Source organism: Homo sapiens, chromosome 19 (genome assembly GCF_000001405.40).
Source record: "Homo sapiens chromosome 19, GRCh38.p14 Primary Assembly".
NCBI classification, from domain to species: domain Eukaryota; kingdom Metazoa; phylum Chordata; class Mammalia; order Primates; family Hominidae; genus Homo; species Homo sapiens.
The window spans coordinates 52,763,923-52,779,792 of NC_000019.10; the positions used below are offsets into that span (position 1 = coordinate 52,763,923).

Here is a 15,870-nt window from a genome sequence, read left to right on the forward strand (position 1 = left end):
AACTATTTTTTTTAATCTAATGAATTCTGGGGTCAACTGGAAAAGAACAGGAGAATATACAAGTACAGAAATGAATGATGTGAGCTGACTATACGATGCTGCAAAGGCATCTTTCAGATGTGATTATATACTATGAAAGAAATACAATTTTTAAAACTAAGATTTATCTCAAACTCAAACTGCAAAAAAAAAAAAAAGAGAGAAATGAAGAGGAATCAGAAAGGAAAAAAAAGGAAGTCTATTGAACAATGAGAACAAAAGCATTTTTAATGTTTTTTTTTAATATTTTTTGTTTGCTGGTTTCTTTGAGATGGAGACTGACTCTACTGCCCAGGCTGAGGGCAGTGGCACGATTTTGCCTCACGGCAACCTCTACCTCCCAGGTTTAAGCGACTCTTGTGCCTCAGCCTCTCAAGTAGCTGGAACTAAAGGTGCACACCACCACCCCCCGGCTAACTTTTGTATTTTTAGTAGAGATGGGGTTTCACCATGTTAGCCAGGGTGCTCTTGAACTTCTGACCTTAGGTGATCCACTCACATCAGTCTACCAAAGTGTTGTGATTGCAGGGATGAGCCACCATCCAGCTTTGATATCCTTTTTTTTTTTTTTTTTTTGAGACAGATTCTCACTGTCGCCCAGGCCGGAGTGCAGTGGCACGATGTTGGCTCCCTGCAAGCTCCGTCTCCAGGATTCACACCATTCTCCTGCCTCAGCCTCCCAAGCAGCTAGGACTACAGGCACCTGCCACCACGCCTGGCTAATATTTTATATTTTTAGTAGAGATGGGGTTTCACCGTGTTAGCCAGGACGGTCTCGATCTCCTGACCTTGTCATGGGCCCGTCTCGGCCTCCCAAAGTGCTGGGATTACTTACATGAGCCTCCGTGCCTGGCCTGATCTCCCTTTTATAAAGTACTATATCAAAAAAGTACTATCTCTTTAAAAAGTACTATCTCAAAAAAGAAAAATAGAAAATAAGAATCAAAAAACAGGCTGGGAAAAGTGGCTGACATCTGTTGGCCATGCTGGTTTCAAACTTCTGACCTCAAGTGACCTATGTGCCTTGGCCTCCAACCGTGCTGGAATTACAGGTGTGAGAAACCACACCTGGCCCAATCCTCTTAACATAAACACTTGAATGTCAATTAAGGGTTGAACTCAATGTTAAGTCAACACAAACTCAAGTCAATGCTGGACTGACTCTAGTGTCAATTAATGCTTGATGGTTTGCTATACTCACTGCATTGGGAACAGTTATCTCAAAAATGAATTTTCTGATGTTCTGCAAGGAGTGACCTCGGACTCAAGACCTTGCCACACTTCTGACATTTGTAAGATTTCTGTCCAGTAGGGATTCTCTGATGTCTAATGAGGTGTGAACATGAAGTAAAGGCTTTGCCACAATCATCACACATGTGAGGTTTCTCTCCTGTATGAATTCTCCTATGTTTTGCATAGGATGAAGCTTGACTGAAGACCTTGCCACAGTCATGACATTTGTAAGGTTTCTCTCCAGTATGAGTGTGTCAATGAACTGCAATGTATGAATGATGTCTGAAAAATTTGCCACATTTATTACACTTGTTAGATCTTTATTCATTATAGATTCTCCAATGATTTGCAATGGTTGTAGCGTTACTGAAGACTTTGTGACAATCATTACATTAGTCAAGTTTCCCTACACCATGAACTGCCTGATGGTGAATAAGTGTTGACTGCTTGCTAAAGGCTTTGCCACACTCATTACACTTGTAAGGTTTCTCTCCAGTGTGAAGTCCAGTATGTTGTTTCAGGTGTGAATCACTCCCAAAAGTCTTGTCACAAACCTTACATTTGTATGGTTTCTTTCCAGGATGAATTCTCCTATGTCTTTTAAGGTGTGATTTGCGACTGAAAACTTTGTCACATGTTTCACATTTGTAAAGTTTCTCCCCAGCATGAATTCTATGATGAAGTGAAAGTTGTGATTGTTGATTAAAAGCCTTCCCACATTCATTACACTTGTAAGGTTTCTCTGCAGTGTGAATTCTGGTATGTCTTGCCAGGTATGAATTACGCACGAAAGCCTTGTCACAAACCGTACATTTGTAAGATTTCTCTCCAGTATGAAGTCTACGATGGTGAACAAGGGATGGCTTGTGACTGAAGGTCTTGCCACACTCATTACACTTGTAAGGTTTCTCACCACTATGAAGTCTACGATGGCAATGAAGGTATGACCTCTGACTGAAGGTCTTGCTGCACTCATTACACTTGTAAGGTTTCTCACCACTATGAACTCTGCGATGGCTTGCAAGGTATGACCTCAGACGGAAGGTCTTGCTGCACTCATTACACTTGTAAGGTTTCTCTCCACTATGAATTCTAGTATGTTTTGCCAGATAGGAATGACACGCAAAAGCCTTGTCACAAACCTTACATTTGTATGGTTTCTCTCCGGTGTGAATTATCTTATGTGTCTCAAGGGTTGATCCACAACTGAAAACCTTTTCACATTCTTCATATTTGTAAGGTTGCTCTCCAGTATGAATTGACTTATGAATTAGAAGATCTGAATTTTGACCAAAGGTCTTCCCACATTCATTACACTTGTAAGGTTTTCCTCCACTATGAATTCTAGTATGTCTTACCAGGTGTGAATTCCACGCAAAAGCCTTGTCACAGACCTTACATTTGTAAGATTTCTCTCCACCATGAAGTCTATGATGGCATACAAGGGATGACTTGTGACTGAAGGTCTTGCCACACTCATTACACTTGTAAGTTTTCTCTCCAGTGTGAATTCTTTTATGTCTTGCCAGCTGAGAATTCCATGTGAAAGCTGTGTCACAAACCTTACATTTGTATGGTTTCTCTCCAGTATGAATTCTCTTATGTGACTCAAGGGTTGATTTCCGACTGAAAACTTTGTCACATTCTTCACATTTGTAAGGTTTCTCTCCAGTATGAATTCTACGATGACGTGCAAGGTTTGATTGCTGATTAAAAGCTTTGTCACATTCATTACACTTGTAAGGTTTTTCTCCAGTATGAATTGCCTTATGAATTACAAGGGCTGAATTTTGACCAAAGATCTTGCCACACTCATTACACTTGTGAGATTTTACTGCAGTGTGAAGTCTACGATGGCATGTAAGGGATGATACCTGACTGAAGGACTTTCCACACTCATTACACTTGTAAGGTTTCTCTCCAGTGTGACATCTACAATGGCATGTAAGGTATTGCTTGTGATTAAAGAGCTTGCCACATACATCACATTTATATTGTTTGTCTCCTAAATGGGGTATCTGGTGTTTCCTTAAGAGTGAGCTACAATTAAAGGCTTTGCCACTCTCATTACATTGGAAAGATTTTTCTCTCATGTATACTTCCTGTTTTTGTGGGAGTAGTGAAGAATTCGGGGAATTATTCCCATAGTTATTAGAAATATGGATTTGGGGCCTAGGAGAAATTCTTTGGGATGTTGAAACCGAGGGAGCATCACTGGTAGACTTCTCAAATTGATTACCAATTTTACCTTTGATCTGAATTATGTGGAGTTCAGGCAGATGTGAATAAAAGCTTGATCCAAGCTGATCTTTAATAGGCTTGTTTCCAGCATGCCTGTGATCATGTTGGTCTGTGCTACCAGTCAACTTTTTTATTTTTGTCATGGGTGCTTCATGGCCATTTCTTTCATCTTCTTGACACTGAAACTCAATATCATGAATTTCTTTCTCAATTTCCTGGAAGCAAAAATCTCCAATGTGATAACTTTGATATCTTTGCAATGTCCCTGTGTGGATCACTTCTGTATTGCCTTGCCCTGTTGACAAGACCTCCTTCATCATGCGTTTGGAAGAGATATCTACAAAATATAAACAACAATAGGTTTCCAATTAAGTACAGATGGTAAATCATACTGAAGTGTGTAAATATGACACAAAAAACAATACTTATTTTGAACTTCCCAAATATCATCTTCAAAGTTTAGGAACACAAAAGGAGTAAGATTCTTTAATAAACAAGGGGCAATTACATGTCCTTCAAATCAATTCTATGAAAGTCTATTTCCTATGTCATCACAAAACACTGACAGGGCACAAACGTGTAAGCCTAAGGTAAGGAGTATTTTTCCACTGTGACCCTAAAGTGTATCACAATTTGCAAAAAACATATCACTGTCACATCAATGAAGAGAAAAATATATATTTTTCATATTTAAACCATATTTACTGTGTACAAATGCTAAAAAAAAAACAAAGAAACCCACACAATATACTATATTGGTAAATAATCCACAAACTCATGTAAGGATAACCAAAATCAATGGAAATTCTGTATTTTCAAACAATTATAGCACCGAGAAGAGAAGATTACAAAAATTAACCAGGTGTGCTGGCCCGTGCCTGACAGTCACAGCAACTTGGGAGGCTGAGGCATAAGAATCACCTGAACCTGGGAGGCAGAGGTTGCGGTGAGGCAAGATTGCACCTCTGCACTCCAGCCTGGGTGACAAAGTGAGACTCCACCTCAAAAAAAAAAAAAAAGCAAAAAAAAAGTTAATTCAATATTTTTCTCAATAAATGTCATAAAATTACCTATATCCACACAGGACAGGCACTTAATGACTTTTCAAAAAATTTTTGTATTTTTATTTTTTTGAGATGGAGTCTTGCACTCCAGCTTGGAGTGCCATGGCATGATCTCAGCTCACTGCAACCTCTGCCTCCTGGGTTGAAGTGATCCTCCTGCCTCATCCTCCTGAGTACCTGGGGTTACAGGCATGCACAACTATGCCTGGGTAATTTTTGTGTTTTTAGTAGAGATGTGTGGGCAGCAAGCCAACTAGGTGCCAAGGCAAGAGTTCGAGGGCACAAGCTGTTCCAATATAATAAAATATATAAAATAACAAGAGTTATACTAGATCTAGATCATAGACATGATTATATATGAATGTCATTAATCATTAGTTGGTAGCAATTACTCTTTATTCCAATATTATAATAATCCTCGCTCTATAATCATAACCTAAGAAAAGCCAGGCCATACAGAGATAGGAGCTGAGGGGACACAGTGAGAAGTGACCAGAAGACAAGAGTGCGAGCCTTCTGTTATGCCCAGACAGGGCCACCAGAGGACTCCTTGGTCTGGCAGTGATGCCAGCGTCTGGGAAGATGCCCGTTGCCAAGCGGACCATGGTCTAGTGGTAGCATCAGTGCCAAGGAACAACACCCGCCACTTAGCAGACCGGGAAAGGGAGTCTCCCTTTCCCCGGGGGAGTTTAGAGAACACTCTCCTCCACCACCTCTTGCGGAGGGCCTGACATCAGTCAGGCCCACCTGCAGTTATCCGGAGGCCTAACCGTCTCCCTGTGATGCTGTGCTTCAGTGGTCACGCTCCTAGTCCACCTTCGTGTTCCGTCCTGTACACCTGGCTCTGCCTTCTAGATAACAGTAGCAAAATGAGTGAAAGTACTAAAAGTGTCTGATATGCAGAAATAATGGCGCAAGCTATCTCTCTCTCTCCCTCTCTCTGCCTCGGCTGCCAGGAAGGGAAGGGCCCCCTGTCTAGTGGACAGGTGACCCACGTGACCTTACCTATCACTGGAGATGGCTCACACTCCTTACCCTGCCCCTTTGTCTTGTATCCAATAAATATCAGCGCAGCCTGGCATTCAGGGCCACTACCCATCTCTGCATCTTGCTGGCAGTGGTCCCCCGGGCCCAGCTGTCTTTTCTTTTATCTCTTTGTCTTGTGTATTTATTTCTACAGTCTCTCATCTCCGCATAGAGAGAGCAAAACCCACCGACCCTGTGGGGCTGGTCCCTACAGAGATGGGGTTTCACCAGGTTGACCAGGCTGGTCTCAAACTCCTGACCTCAAGTAATCTTCCCGCCTCAGCCTCCCAAAGTTCTGGGATTACAGGTGTGAGCCACTGTACCTGGTGGCACTTTGTGACATTAATGAGTGGAGTGTGGCAGTTATATTGCATACCACATACCGAAAAGCCATATGCAAAATTATAAAAATTAATTAATAAAATATTGTAACCCATGATAAAACCAGCAAGCAAGTAAGTACATTTATACAGCCTGCAGAATTCTAAACAATTCCCTCTTAAGAAAAAAGCCACAACATCTACTTAACCACCAGCACACAATATAAGAACTGAAATACATGTTAAGATCACTACCTTCTCATGTATGAGGTCAAGAAAATACACAGCATTTTAAGAAATAAGAATTGACTAATGGCTGGTAACGGTGGCTGACACCTGTAATCCCAGTACTTTGGGAGGTGGAGACATGTGGAGCACGAGGTCAGGAGTTCGAGAACAGCCTGGCCAACATGGGGAAACCCCATCTCTACTAAGAATACAAAAAAAACAGCTGGGTATGGTGGCAGACACCTGTAATCTCAGCTACTCTGGAGGCTGAAGCAAAAGAATCATTTGAACCCAGGAGGCAAAGGTTACAGTGAGCCGAGATTGTGCCATTGCACTCCAGCCTGGTTGACAGGGCTAGACTCCATCTCAAATAAATAAATAAATAATTGACTAATAGTGTAGAAAAGTACAATTATGATGTCACAACTACACTTATGTAACAGCCAGGCAATACAGCAATTTTACATTTGTGCATTCCCCATAGTTATCTAGTTCACTATGCGTAAGATATAAAACATAGAATGTGTACTGGGAAAATTTATAAACAGATCAGAGAAAATATTGTATAAAACAAATTGCACAATAAGAACAAAAAATATGATGTATGTTCCCTGGCCCGAATGTTCACCTTGGCTAAAAGTCATTATCAGATTTCTTATTCTCCAATAAGGATGTTCCTGCAGTTGGGGTCTTTTAGAGAATTTGGTCATGGGTGTTGACTAATTGTGAATAGGACTAGGGCTTTTAATTGTATTTTTTCTTTCTTTATCTACTTTTGAGACAGAGTTTCGCTCTTGTTGCCCAGGCTGGAGTGCAATAGCATGATCTAGGTTCACCACAGTCTCTACCTCCCAGGTTCAAGCGATTCTCCTGCCTCAGCCACCCGAGTAGCTGGGATTACAGGCATGTGCAATCATGCCTGGCTCATTTTGTATTTTTAGTAGAGACATGGTTTCTCCATGTTGGTCAGGCTCGTTTCAATCTCCCGACCTCATGTGATTTGGCCGTCTTAGCCTCCCAAAGTGCTGGGATTACAGGTGTAAGCCACCACGACTGGCCAGGACTACTGTTTTTATAAAAAGAGACAGTAAAGAGCTCATTGCCTGCTCCTCTTTCCCCCATGTCAGGACACTGCAGGAAGGTGGCTGGGCTAAACCACGAAGAAGGCTCTCACCAGGAGCCAATCTAGCTGACATCTTGTTCTTGGATTTCCCATTTTCCAGATTCATGAGAAATAAATTTCTATGTCTTAAGCTTTCAAGTTTCAGCTATTTCTTTTTTTTTGTCTGTCATGCTTCATCACCCAGGCTGGAGTGCAGTGGCACGACTCTCCTACCTAAAGAGATTCTCATGCCTCAGCCTCTTGAGTAGCTGGCACTACAGATACATGCCACCATGCCTGGCTAATTTTTTTTTTGGAAACAGAGTCTCACTCTGTCACCCGGGCTGGAGTGCAGTGGCGCAATCATGGCTCACTGCAACATCCATCTCCCAGGTTCAAATGATTCTCCTATAGGTCTCAGCCTCACAAGAAGCTGGGATTACAGGTGTATACCAACACACCCAGCTAATTTTTGTATTTTTACCAGAGATGGGGTTTCACCATGTTGGCCAGGCTGGTCTTGAAATTCTGACCTGAGGTGATCCACCCGTCTTTGCCTCCCAAATTTTTGGGATTATAGTCGTGAGCCATCACGCCCGTCCAATTTTTTTTAATTTAGTAGATTCAAGGTTTCATTATGTTTGCCCGACTGCTCTCAAACTCCTGACCTCAAGCCATCTACCCACCTCAGCCTTTCAAAGTGCTGGAATTAGAGGCCTAAGCCACTGCGGCTGGCCAGTCTAAGCTATTTCTGACAGAACAGTGAAAAGAGTGAGATAGGAAAAGAGGCATCTCATCATCAACATCACTGAAGGCTGACAAATCTTATTAAACAAAGGAAGTTGAGTGTGTACTATAAAACTTATATGAAGCCATCTAATAGTATTCACTTGTTTTAAAAAGCAGGTGGACGAATCACCTGAGGTTGGGAGTTTGAGACCAGCCTGACCAATATGGAGAAACCCCATGTCTACTAAAATTACAAAAATTAGCCAGACTTGCACCAGGCATAATCCCAGCTACTTGGGACCCTGAGGCTGGACAATCACTTGAACCCAGGAAGTGGAGGTTGCGGTGAGCTGAGATTGAACCAATGTACTCCAGCCTGGGCAAGAAGAGGGAAACTCCATTTAAAAAACAAAAAAGGCCAGACACAGTGGCTCAGGCCTGTAATCCTAGCTCTTTGGGAGGCTCAGGCAGGTACATCACTTGAGGTCAGGAGTTCGAGACCAGCCTGGCCAACATGGTGAAACCCCATCTCTACTAAAAATACAAAAATTAGCCAGGCGTGGTGGTGCATGCCTGTAATCCCAGCTACTTGGGAGGCTGCAGAAGGAGAATCCCTTGAACCCGGGAGGTGGAGGTTGTGGTGAACTGAGATTGTGCCATTGCACTTAAGCCTGGGCAACAGGAGCAAAACTCCATCTCAAAAAACAAACAAACAAAAACCAAAAACCAACCCTGGAGGCAAATTAACATTATTTCTCAAATAACAAAAGCAGGCCCGCGGTGTTCATGGACATGACCCCAGTTTGCACGTACGGTAAGTGAGGGACAAGACTTGATCCTGGGCATGAAGGATCCCATGACATGTTCTTAGGCACAATAGTCAGCCCAGGCAGGACAGGAAATGACCAGACACAGAAAATACAAGGAGAACAGATAGAAGTACATCAAGGGGGATACAAGGACTGAGCTGGGACACAAGCGCTGAGCTGCGCTGCTGACAGTGGTTCTGAAGCCATCCCTCATGGATCATGTGCTGAGTCATGATGCCCTGCACACACTGATTTAAGCGGCCTCCTATAATTTTGTCCAGTGGATGAACAAGGTCTTGACTTACTCAGTGAGAGTAGTGTTGGAGGGGAGGGGCTCACGGGGAAATTGGGGTGTTCACTATTACAAAGTCAATAGGCTGGTATTTGCATCCAGATCAATGTATCATGTGAGGCAAGGCCAGGAAAGGAAGGGCAAGGGTGGAGAGCAGGAAGTAATGGGCATGTAGGAGTGAACTTTGTGCATGCATGTCTGTGGGAATATAATTCCACTAGGATAGACCAAATCTTGAGCTTGGAAGAAAGTGGAACTAATTTAGCAAATGGTAAAATATTGACCCAAGGTTAAATATTCAAATTACAATATGGGCAAGGGACAAGAATGAAAGAGATCCAAAAAAGCAGCAGTATGGTGGCCTGAGGTGAAAGCAATTTTACATCTCTTAAATTAAATGCCTCTGATTTCTAGTTTCAAGCATATACTCAACAATAATCCCCTGTGTAGATTCCAGAAATGTGTACACACAAAAAAATAAGTAAACCCTATGAAGAGTACAGTAGAGCAATGTAGGAGACCATGGGGTTGAAGAAGGATGCCCTGGCTGAGTAGGTAGAGATGTGTTTGTGAAAACAGAGCCAGGCTGAGTGCAGTGGCTCACGTCTGTAATCTCAGCTCATTAGGAGGATGGATGGGTGGATCACAAGGTCAGGAGTTCGAGACCAGCCAGGCCAGCATGGTGAAACACTGTCTCTACTGAAAAAATATAAAATATTAGCCCGGCATGGTGGTGCATGTCTGTAATCCCAGCTACTCAGAAGGCTGAGGTAGGAGATTGCTTGAACCTGGGAGGTGGAGGTTGCAGTGAGCTGAGATTGCACCACTGCACTCCAGCCTGTGTGACAGAGCAATACTCCATCTAAAAAAAAAAAGAAGAAACTATAACTTTAATAGAAATGTGGTTTCACCATGTTGGCCAGGCTGGTCTTGAACTCCTGACCTCAGGTGATTCACCCACCTCAGCCTTCCAAAGTGCTGGGATTACAGGCGTGTGCCACTACACCCAGCCTGGCAGCATTATTTATAATAGTAAAGAGAAGAAACCAACCCAGATGTCCATCAACAGATAAATATATGAACAAAATGTGGTATACACATACAATGGAATATTATTCAGCCTTAAAAACAAACTTGGATGGGTCCAGGGGCTGTGGCTCATGCCTGTAATCCCAGCACATTGGGAGGCCGAGGTGGGTGGATCACGTAAGGTGAGGAGTGAGAGACGAGTCTGACCAACATAGAGAAACCCCGTCTCTACTGAAAATACAAAATTAGCTGGGTGTGGTGGCACATGCCTGTAATCCCAGCTACCCAGGAGGCTGAGGCAGGAGAATTGCTTGAACCTGGGAGGCAGAGGTTGCGGTGAGCCAAGATCATACCATTGCTCTCCAGCCTGGGTAACAAGAGCGAAGATCCATCTCAAACAAAAAAACAAAACAAAAAAACAACCAAAAAAAAAAAAAAAGCCATGCATGGGGCAAAATCACAAAAGAGAACACAAAACCAGGAAGGGCCAAGATAGACAAGAGCAGACTCCTCATGTCTGGGGGACATCATTTTCCTCACCCACAGCTTCCAGGTTCCTGTAGTTCTCCAACATCACTTCCCTGTACAAAGCCCTCTGCGAAGGGTTCAGGCATTTCCACTCTGCCAATGAGAATTCTATAGCCACATCCCTGAAAGTCAAGCGTCCCTAAAATGAAACACACATTTCCACAAAACATTATGGAGGATTGAGTTATCACCTTCATGGGAAATGAGAAAAGAGAAAATAAGTATTTGATCAAAGACTGTGTTCTGACAAAATGTTAAGGTATTTTGAATATTTTTTCCCTATAGTTGCATTTTATTGTACTTTTCTTTGAAAGATTTTAAGATGCCATAAGTCACTATGGAAGTCTCAATTTCATAGACAACATAAAAAGTATAAAAATAAAAAGGAAACACAGGGCCAGGCATGGTGGTTCACACCTGTAATCCTAACACTTCGGGAGGCCAAGGCGGGCAGATTATTTGATGTCAAGAGTTCGAGACCACCCTGGCCAACATGGTGAAAACCTGTCTCTACTAAAAATATAAAAATTTGTCAGGCATGGTGGCAGGCACCTGTAATCCCAGCTACACAGGAGGCTGAGGCAGGAGAATCACTTGAACCCAGGAGATGGAGGCTACAGTGAGCCAAGATCGCACCACTGCACTCCATCCTGGGCAACAGACTGACACTCCATCTCAAAAAACAAAACAAAACAAAACAAAAAAACAATGCCGGGCAGTGACTGTCACCTGTAATCCCAGCACTTTGGGAGACCAAGACGGGCAGATAATGTGGTCAAGAGATTGAGACCATCCTGGTCAACATGGCAAAACCATGTCTCTACTAAAAATACAAAAATTAGCTGGGTGTCGTGGTGCAGGCCTGTACTCCCAGCTACTCAAGAGGCTGAGGCAGGAGGATCGCATGAATCCGAGAGGTGGAGGTTACAGTGAGCCAAGATCGCACCACTGCACTTTAGCCTGGCAACAGAGCAAGACTCCATCTCAAAAACAAACAAACAAACAAACAAACACAGGGTTTTTTCTACAGACATGTCAGATATTATGTTCAACATACCAGGTGATATTAAGTCTCTAGATGAGCTAAGATACAAGTGGTGTTTCAGAGAGGACAAAATCCAACGGCTTTGAATGAAAAGTCTGAATCTAAAAACTGTCATGACTGCGCAGGCACAGTGGCTCATGCCTGTAATTCCAGTACTTTGAGAGGTCGAGGCAGGTGGATCACGAGGTCAGGAGTTTGAGACCAGCTTGGGAACATGCTGAAACCCCTTCTCTACTAAAAATACAAAAATTAGCTGGGAGTGATGGTGGGTGCCTGTAATCCCCAATACTCGGGAGGCTGAGGCTGGAGAATTGCTTGAAACTGGGAGGTGGAGGATGCAGTGTGCCAATATCATGCCACTGTACTTCAGCCTGGGTGACAGAGCAATACTCTGACTCCAAAAAAAAAAACCAAAAACCAAAAACTGTTATGATGACAGCAATAGCCATGACTAACATTTTTGAATGCTTCCCACTGTTCTAAGTGCTTCCCATGTCTTAAGCCATAAAATAACATACTGTCCCATGAAGAAAGGTCTGTACTTGGAGACAAGTGCATCACACATACTAGGAAAATTACCACAAATCAAATAGCTAAAAATGTCAACACAAGCACTGAATCCAGATGTCTGGGATTCACATTTGAATATAAACGCTGAAGTAACAGATACAGCTTTAAACTAAACTGACATGGGTTTATCTAGTGGAGAGAATGTGACAAAGGTCCAAGGGTAAGAACACGGAGCATCCTACAAGGTCGCTGAATGGACACACACAGGCATACATATAATCCTTCCCAATACTTCTTACTTTTTTTTTTTTTGAGATGGAGTCTCACTCTATTGCACAGGCTAGAGTGCAGTGGCAGAATCTCAGCTCACTGCAACCTCGGCCACCCAGGTTCAAGCAATTCTCTTGCCTCAGCCTCCCCAGGAGCTGGGATTTGAGGCACCTGCCACTGCGTCCATCTAATTTTTGTATATTTAGCAGAGACAGGGTTTCACCATCTTAGCCAGGCTGGTCTCGAACTCCTGACATCGTGATCTACCTGCCTCAGCCTTCCAAATGAAAAATAGTTAAAATCATTACAATTATTATAAAAAATAAAACTTATTGCAAATGAAAAATACTTAAAATCATTACAATTATTATAAAAAATAACTTATTGCAAATGTTGTGTTTTCTACATAAACCATGGGCTTATCCACCCATGTATTCATGCACACACATCACATCACGGCGTTACCCACGTGGTGGCCCACCTCTAATCCAAGCTACTGGAGAGGCTGAGGCAACAGAATCACTGTAATCTGGGAGTCAGAGGCTACAGTGAAACAAAATCACCCCACTGCACTCCTGCCTGGACAACAGAGACTCAACTCAAAACAAATTAAAAAATAAAGTAAAATCAATGATGTAAGAAAGCATCCTGTACCACTGATGCCTATCTCCACTTTCCACTCCATCCCAAGTCATTAAAAGTGCAGAGTTTGGCTAAGCGTGGTGGCTCAGGCCTGTAATCCCAGCACTATGGGAGGCTGAGGTGGATGAATCACAAGGTCAGGAGTTCGACCAGCCTGACCAATACGGTGAAACCCCATCTCTACTAAAAATACAAAAAATTAAACAGGCGAGGCAGCAAATGCCTGTAATCCCAGATACTCGGGAGGCTGAGGCAAAAGAATTGCTTGAAGCCAGAAGGCAGAGGGGCAGGGAGCTGAGATCCCACCACTGCAATCCAACCTGGGCAACGGAGCGAGACTCCATCTCTAAAAAGTAAAGAGTCCAGCTGGGCTGGCTGTCTCCCATCTGGAATGCCAGCAATTTGGGAGGCCAAGGTGGGAGGATCACTGGAGGCCAGGATATCAAGGCTATAGTGAGCTATGATTGCACCACTGCACTCCAGCCTGGACAACAAAATAAAAATACGATATAAAAAATAAGGCCGGACACAGTGGTGCACACCTTTAATCCCAGCACTTTGGGAGTCCAAGACAGGCAGATCATGAGGTCAGGAGTTCGAGACCAGCCTAACCAACATGGTGAAACCCCGTCTCAAATAAAAATACAAAAATTAGCTGGGTGTGGTGGTGCATCCTGAAGTCCCAGCAACTCAGGAGGCTGAGGCAGAAGAATTGCTTGAAACTGGGAGATGGAGGTTGCAGTGAGCCGAGATCATTCCATTGCACTCCACCTTTGGGGACTGAGCGAGACTCCATCTTAAAATAAGTAAATAAATAGATAGAGAGATACATATATACATACATACGGTGACCCATGCCTATCACTCAGGCTCTTTGGGAGGCTAAAGCAGGGATTAGTTGAGCTCAGGAGTTTGAGGCTGCTGTAAACTCTGAATTGTACCATTGTACTCCAGAACTAAGCCACAGAGCGACACCTTCTCCCTCTCTCTCTCTTTTCTTTTGAGACAGAGTCTCACTCTGTCTCCCAGGCTGGAGTGCAGTGGCATAATTTCGGCATACAGTAACCTCCACGTCCTGGGTTTAAGTGATTATCCTGCCTCAGCCTCCTGAGTAGATGAGATTACAGGCATGCACCACCACCCCAAGCTAATTTTTGTACTTTTAGTAGAGGTGGGGTTTCACCATGTTGGCCAGGCTGGTCTCGAACTCTTGACCTCAAGTGGTCTTCCTGCCTTGGCCTCACAAATTGCTGGTATTACAGGTGTGAGCACCTGAACCAACATCCTGTCTCTTAAAAAAAAAAAAAGTTTGGAATCACAGACATCTTGATCTACTAGTGTGGCTTCAAATGCATTACCAAATCAGATACAAAATACCTCCCCTTATTTGTCTCCTTTTCCAGAATTTACTAGATATCTGTGTACACTAACATATGTATTTCATATGTAGTTTCTCTGATCTGGTCCACAAAGAGCTGACATCCAGATGTGGCCCCTGAACAATCCAGCCTGCCCAGCAGCACTGACATCAATGGGCCCACACCCCATGTTTATCCATGTCTAGGTGTGAGCCCTTCCCAGGACCATGCCCAGTGGAGCTTCTTCCCAAGTTCACATCACTGGGTCACAGGAGATGGAATCTCGGAGCAGCTGAGAGGAACTAAGGGCAGGCATGGCTGAGTGTGAGTGAACGTGTCAGGCAAAATTCTTCAAACTCAGAAAAGACTGGCTGCTACAATACCTGGCATTTCAGAAAGGAAAGAGACAGATTAATCCACAGAGGAATATCACTTCACCTGAGGAAGAGCCATGCCTGGCTCCTTTCCTTTCCTCTTCTGAGCTGCTTCTTCACATAACATGAGTCTTTAGGAATCAATCCTGTATGTGAAAAAAAATGAGACTTCTTGTTAGAAATGACTCACTCCCATCCTGTGACAAAACCACATGAACAGGGGAGACCTCACCCAGCAGAAAGAAGTCCCCCACCGCCCACTGCACCAGAGATCATGCAGAGATAAGAAAGTCCCACAGGACGACCTATAAGTGTGTTTGACCCCGGTCTTCAGATCTCACTCCCCTCCTGGAGAAGCCCCCACACACTAGGCAGCAGTGGGGAGCTGGGCTGGACTGATCTCCCCTTCAGGGCACAAACCCATCCTTCATCAATCCCCATCCAGAGGACAGCCCCTCACCTCTCTGTGGATCACAGGCTGAGCTCAGCCCTCAGAAATGGAGGACAAAGATGCTCAATGCTGCACACAGATGACAAGCACCTGCGCCACTGCAGGTATTACTGAGGGTGGGTTCCATCCCATCAGAATAAGAATCCCTGCTAAAGCAGCACAAAAGCTCTATTTGAAAAATGCCTCTAGACTCTAATGTGAAGCCAGGGTTGAGCTCCACTCAGAGGGGGCGAGCCCAGCACAGCCCCACGTTCTGGCTCTGCCCTCCCCTTGGGGCCTTGTTCTCACCAGCATCCAGAGAGTGGATGACAAAGGCACAAAAATAATCACACAGAACAGGCAACGTGGACCAGAGGTGGGGTGAATGATGGGCTGTGTGAAAGGAAATAAATCTTCGAGCCCCAACTCACTAAGCAAAAGGGAGAAGTCAAGCTGGGAACTGCTTAGTGAGCCAGACTCCCCTTCTATTCAAAGTCACCCCTCTGCTCCCTGACATAGATGCATGTCTGAGTGCCTCCTTCGAAAGACTAATCAGAAACTCAAAAGAAGGACCCAGCACAGTGGCTCAGGACTGTAATCC

At 43.7% G+C, this 15,870-nt stretch overlaps 1 protein-coding gene across 17 annotated transcripts in view; it reads right to left on the reverse strand.

Annotated features, from left to right (window-relative positions):
* Nucleotides 1–241: 241 nt before the first annotated feature.
* Nucleotides 242–15,870, reverse strand: part of ZNF600 (zinc finger protein 600) — a 69,482-nt gene continuing 53,853 nt past the window's right edge. For 11 of the 17 annotated variants that reach the window (XM_047438297.1, XM_047438294.1, XM_047438288.1 and 8 more), the window contains 3 exons: nt 14,904–14,985; nt 10,653–10,779; nt 1,241–3,850 (listed from right to left, as the gene is read on the reverse strand). In XM_047438297.1, the coding sequence (XP_047294253.1) occupies nt 1,665–3,850; nt 10,653–10,779; nt 14,904–14,966 (2,376 nt within the window). In that variant the 5' untranslated portion in view covers nt 14,967–14,985 and the 3' untranslated portion in view covers nt 1,241–1,664. Of the gene's footprint in view, nt 3,851–10,652; nt 10,780–14,903; nt 14,986–15,299 lie in introns of all 17 variants that reach the window. The other 6 variants (XM_047438290.1, NM_001321867.3, NM_001321866.4 and 3 more) reach the window with 6 other exon arrangements.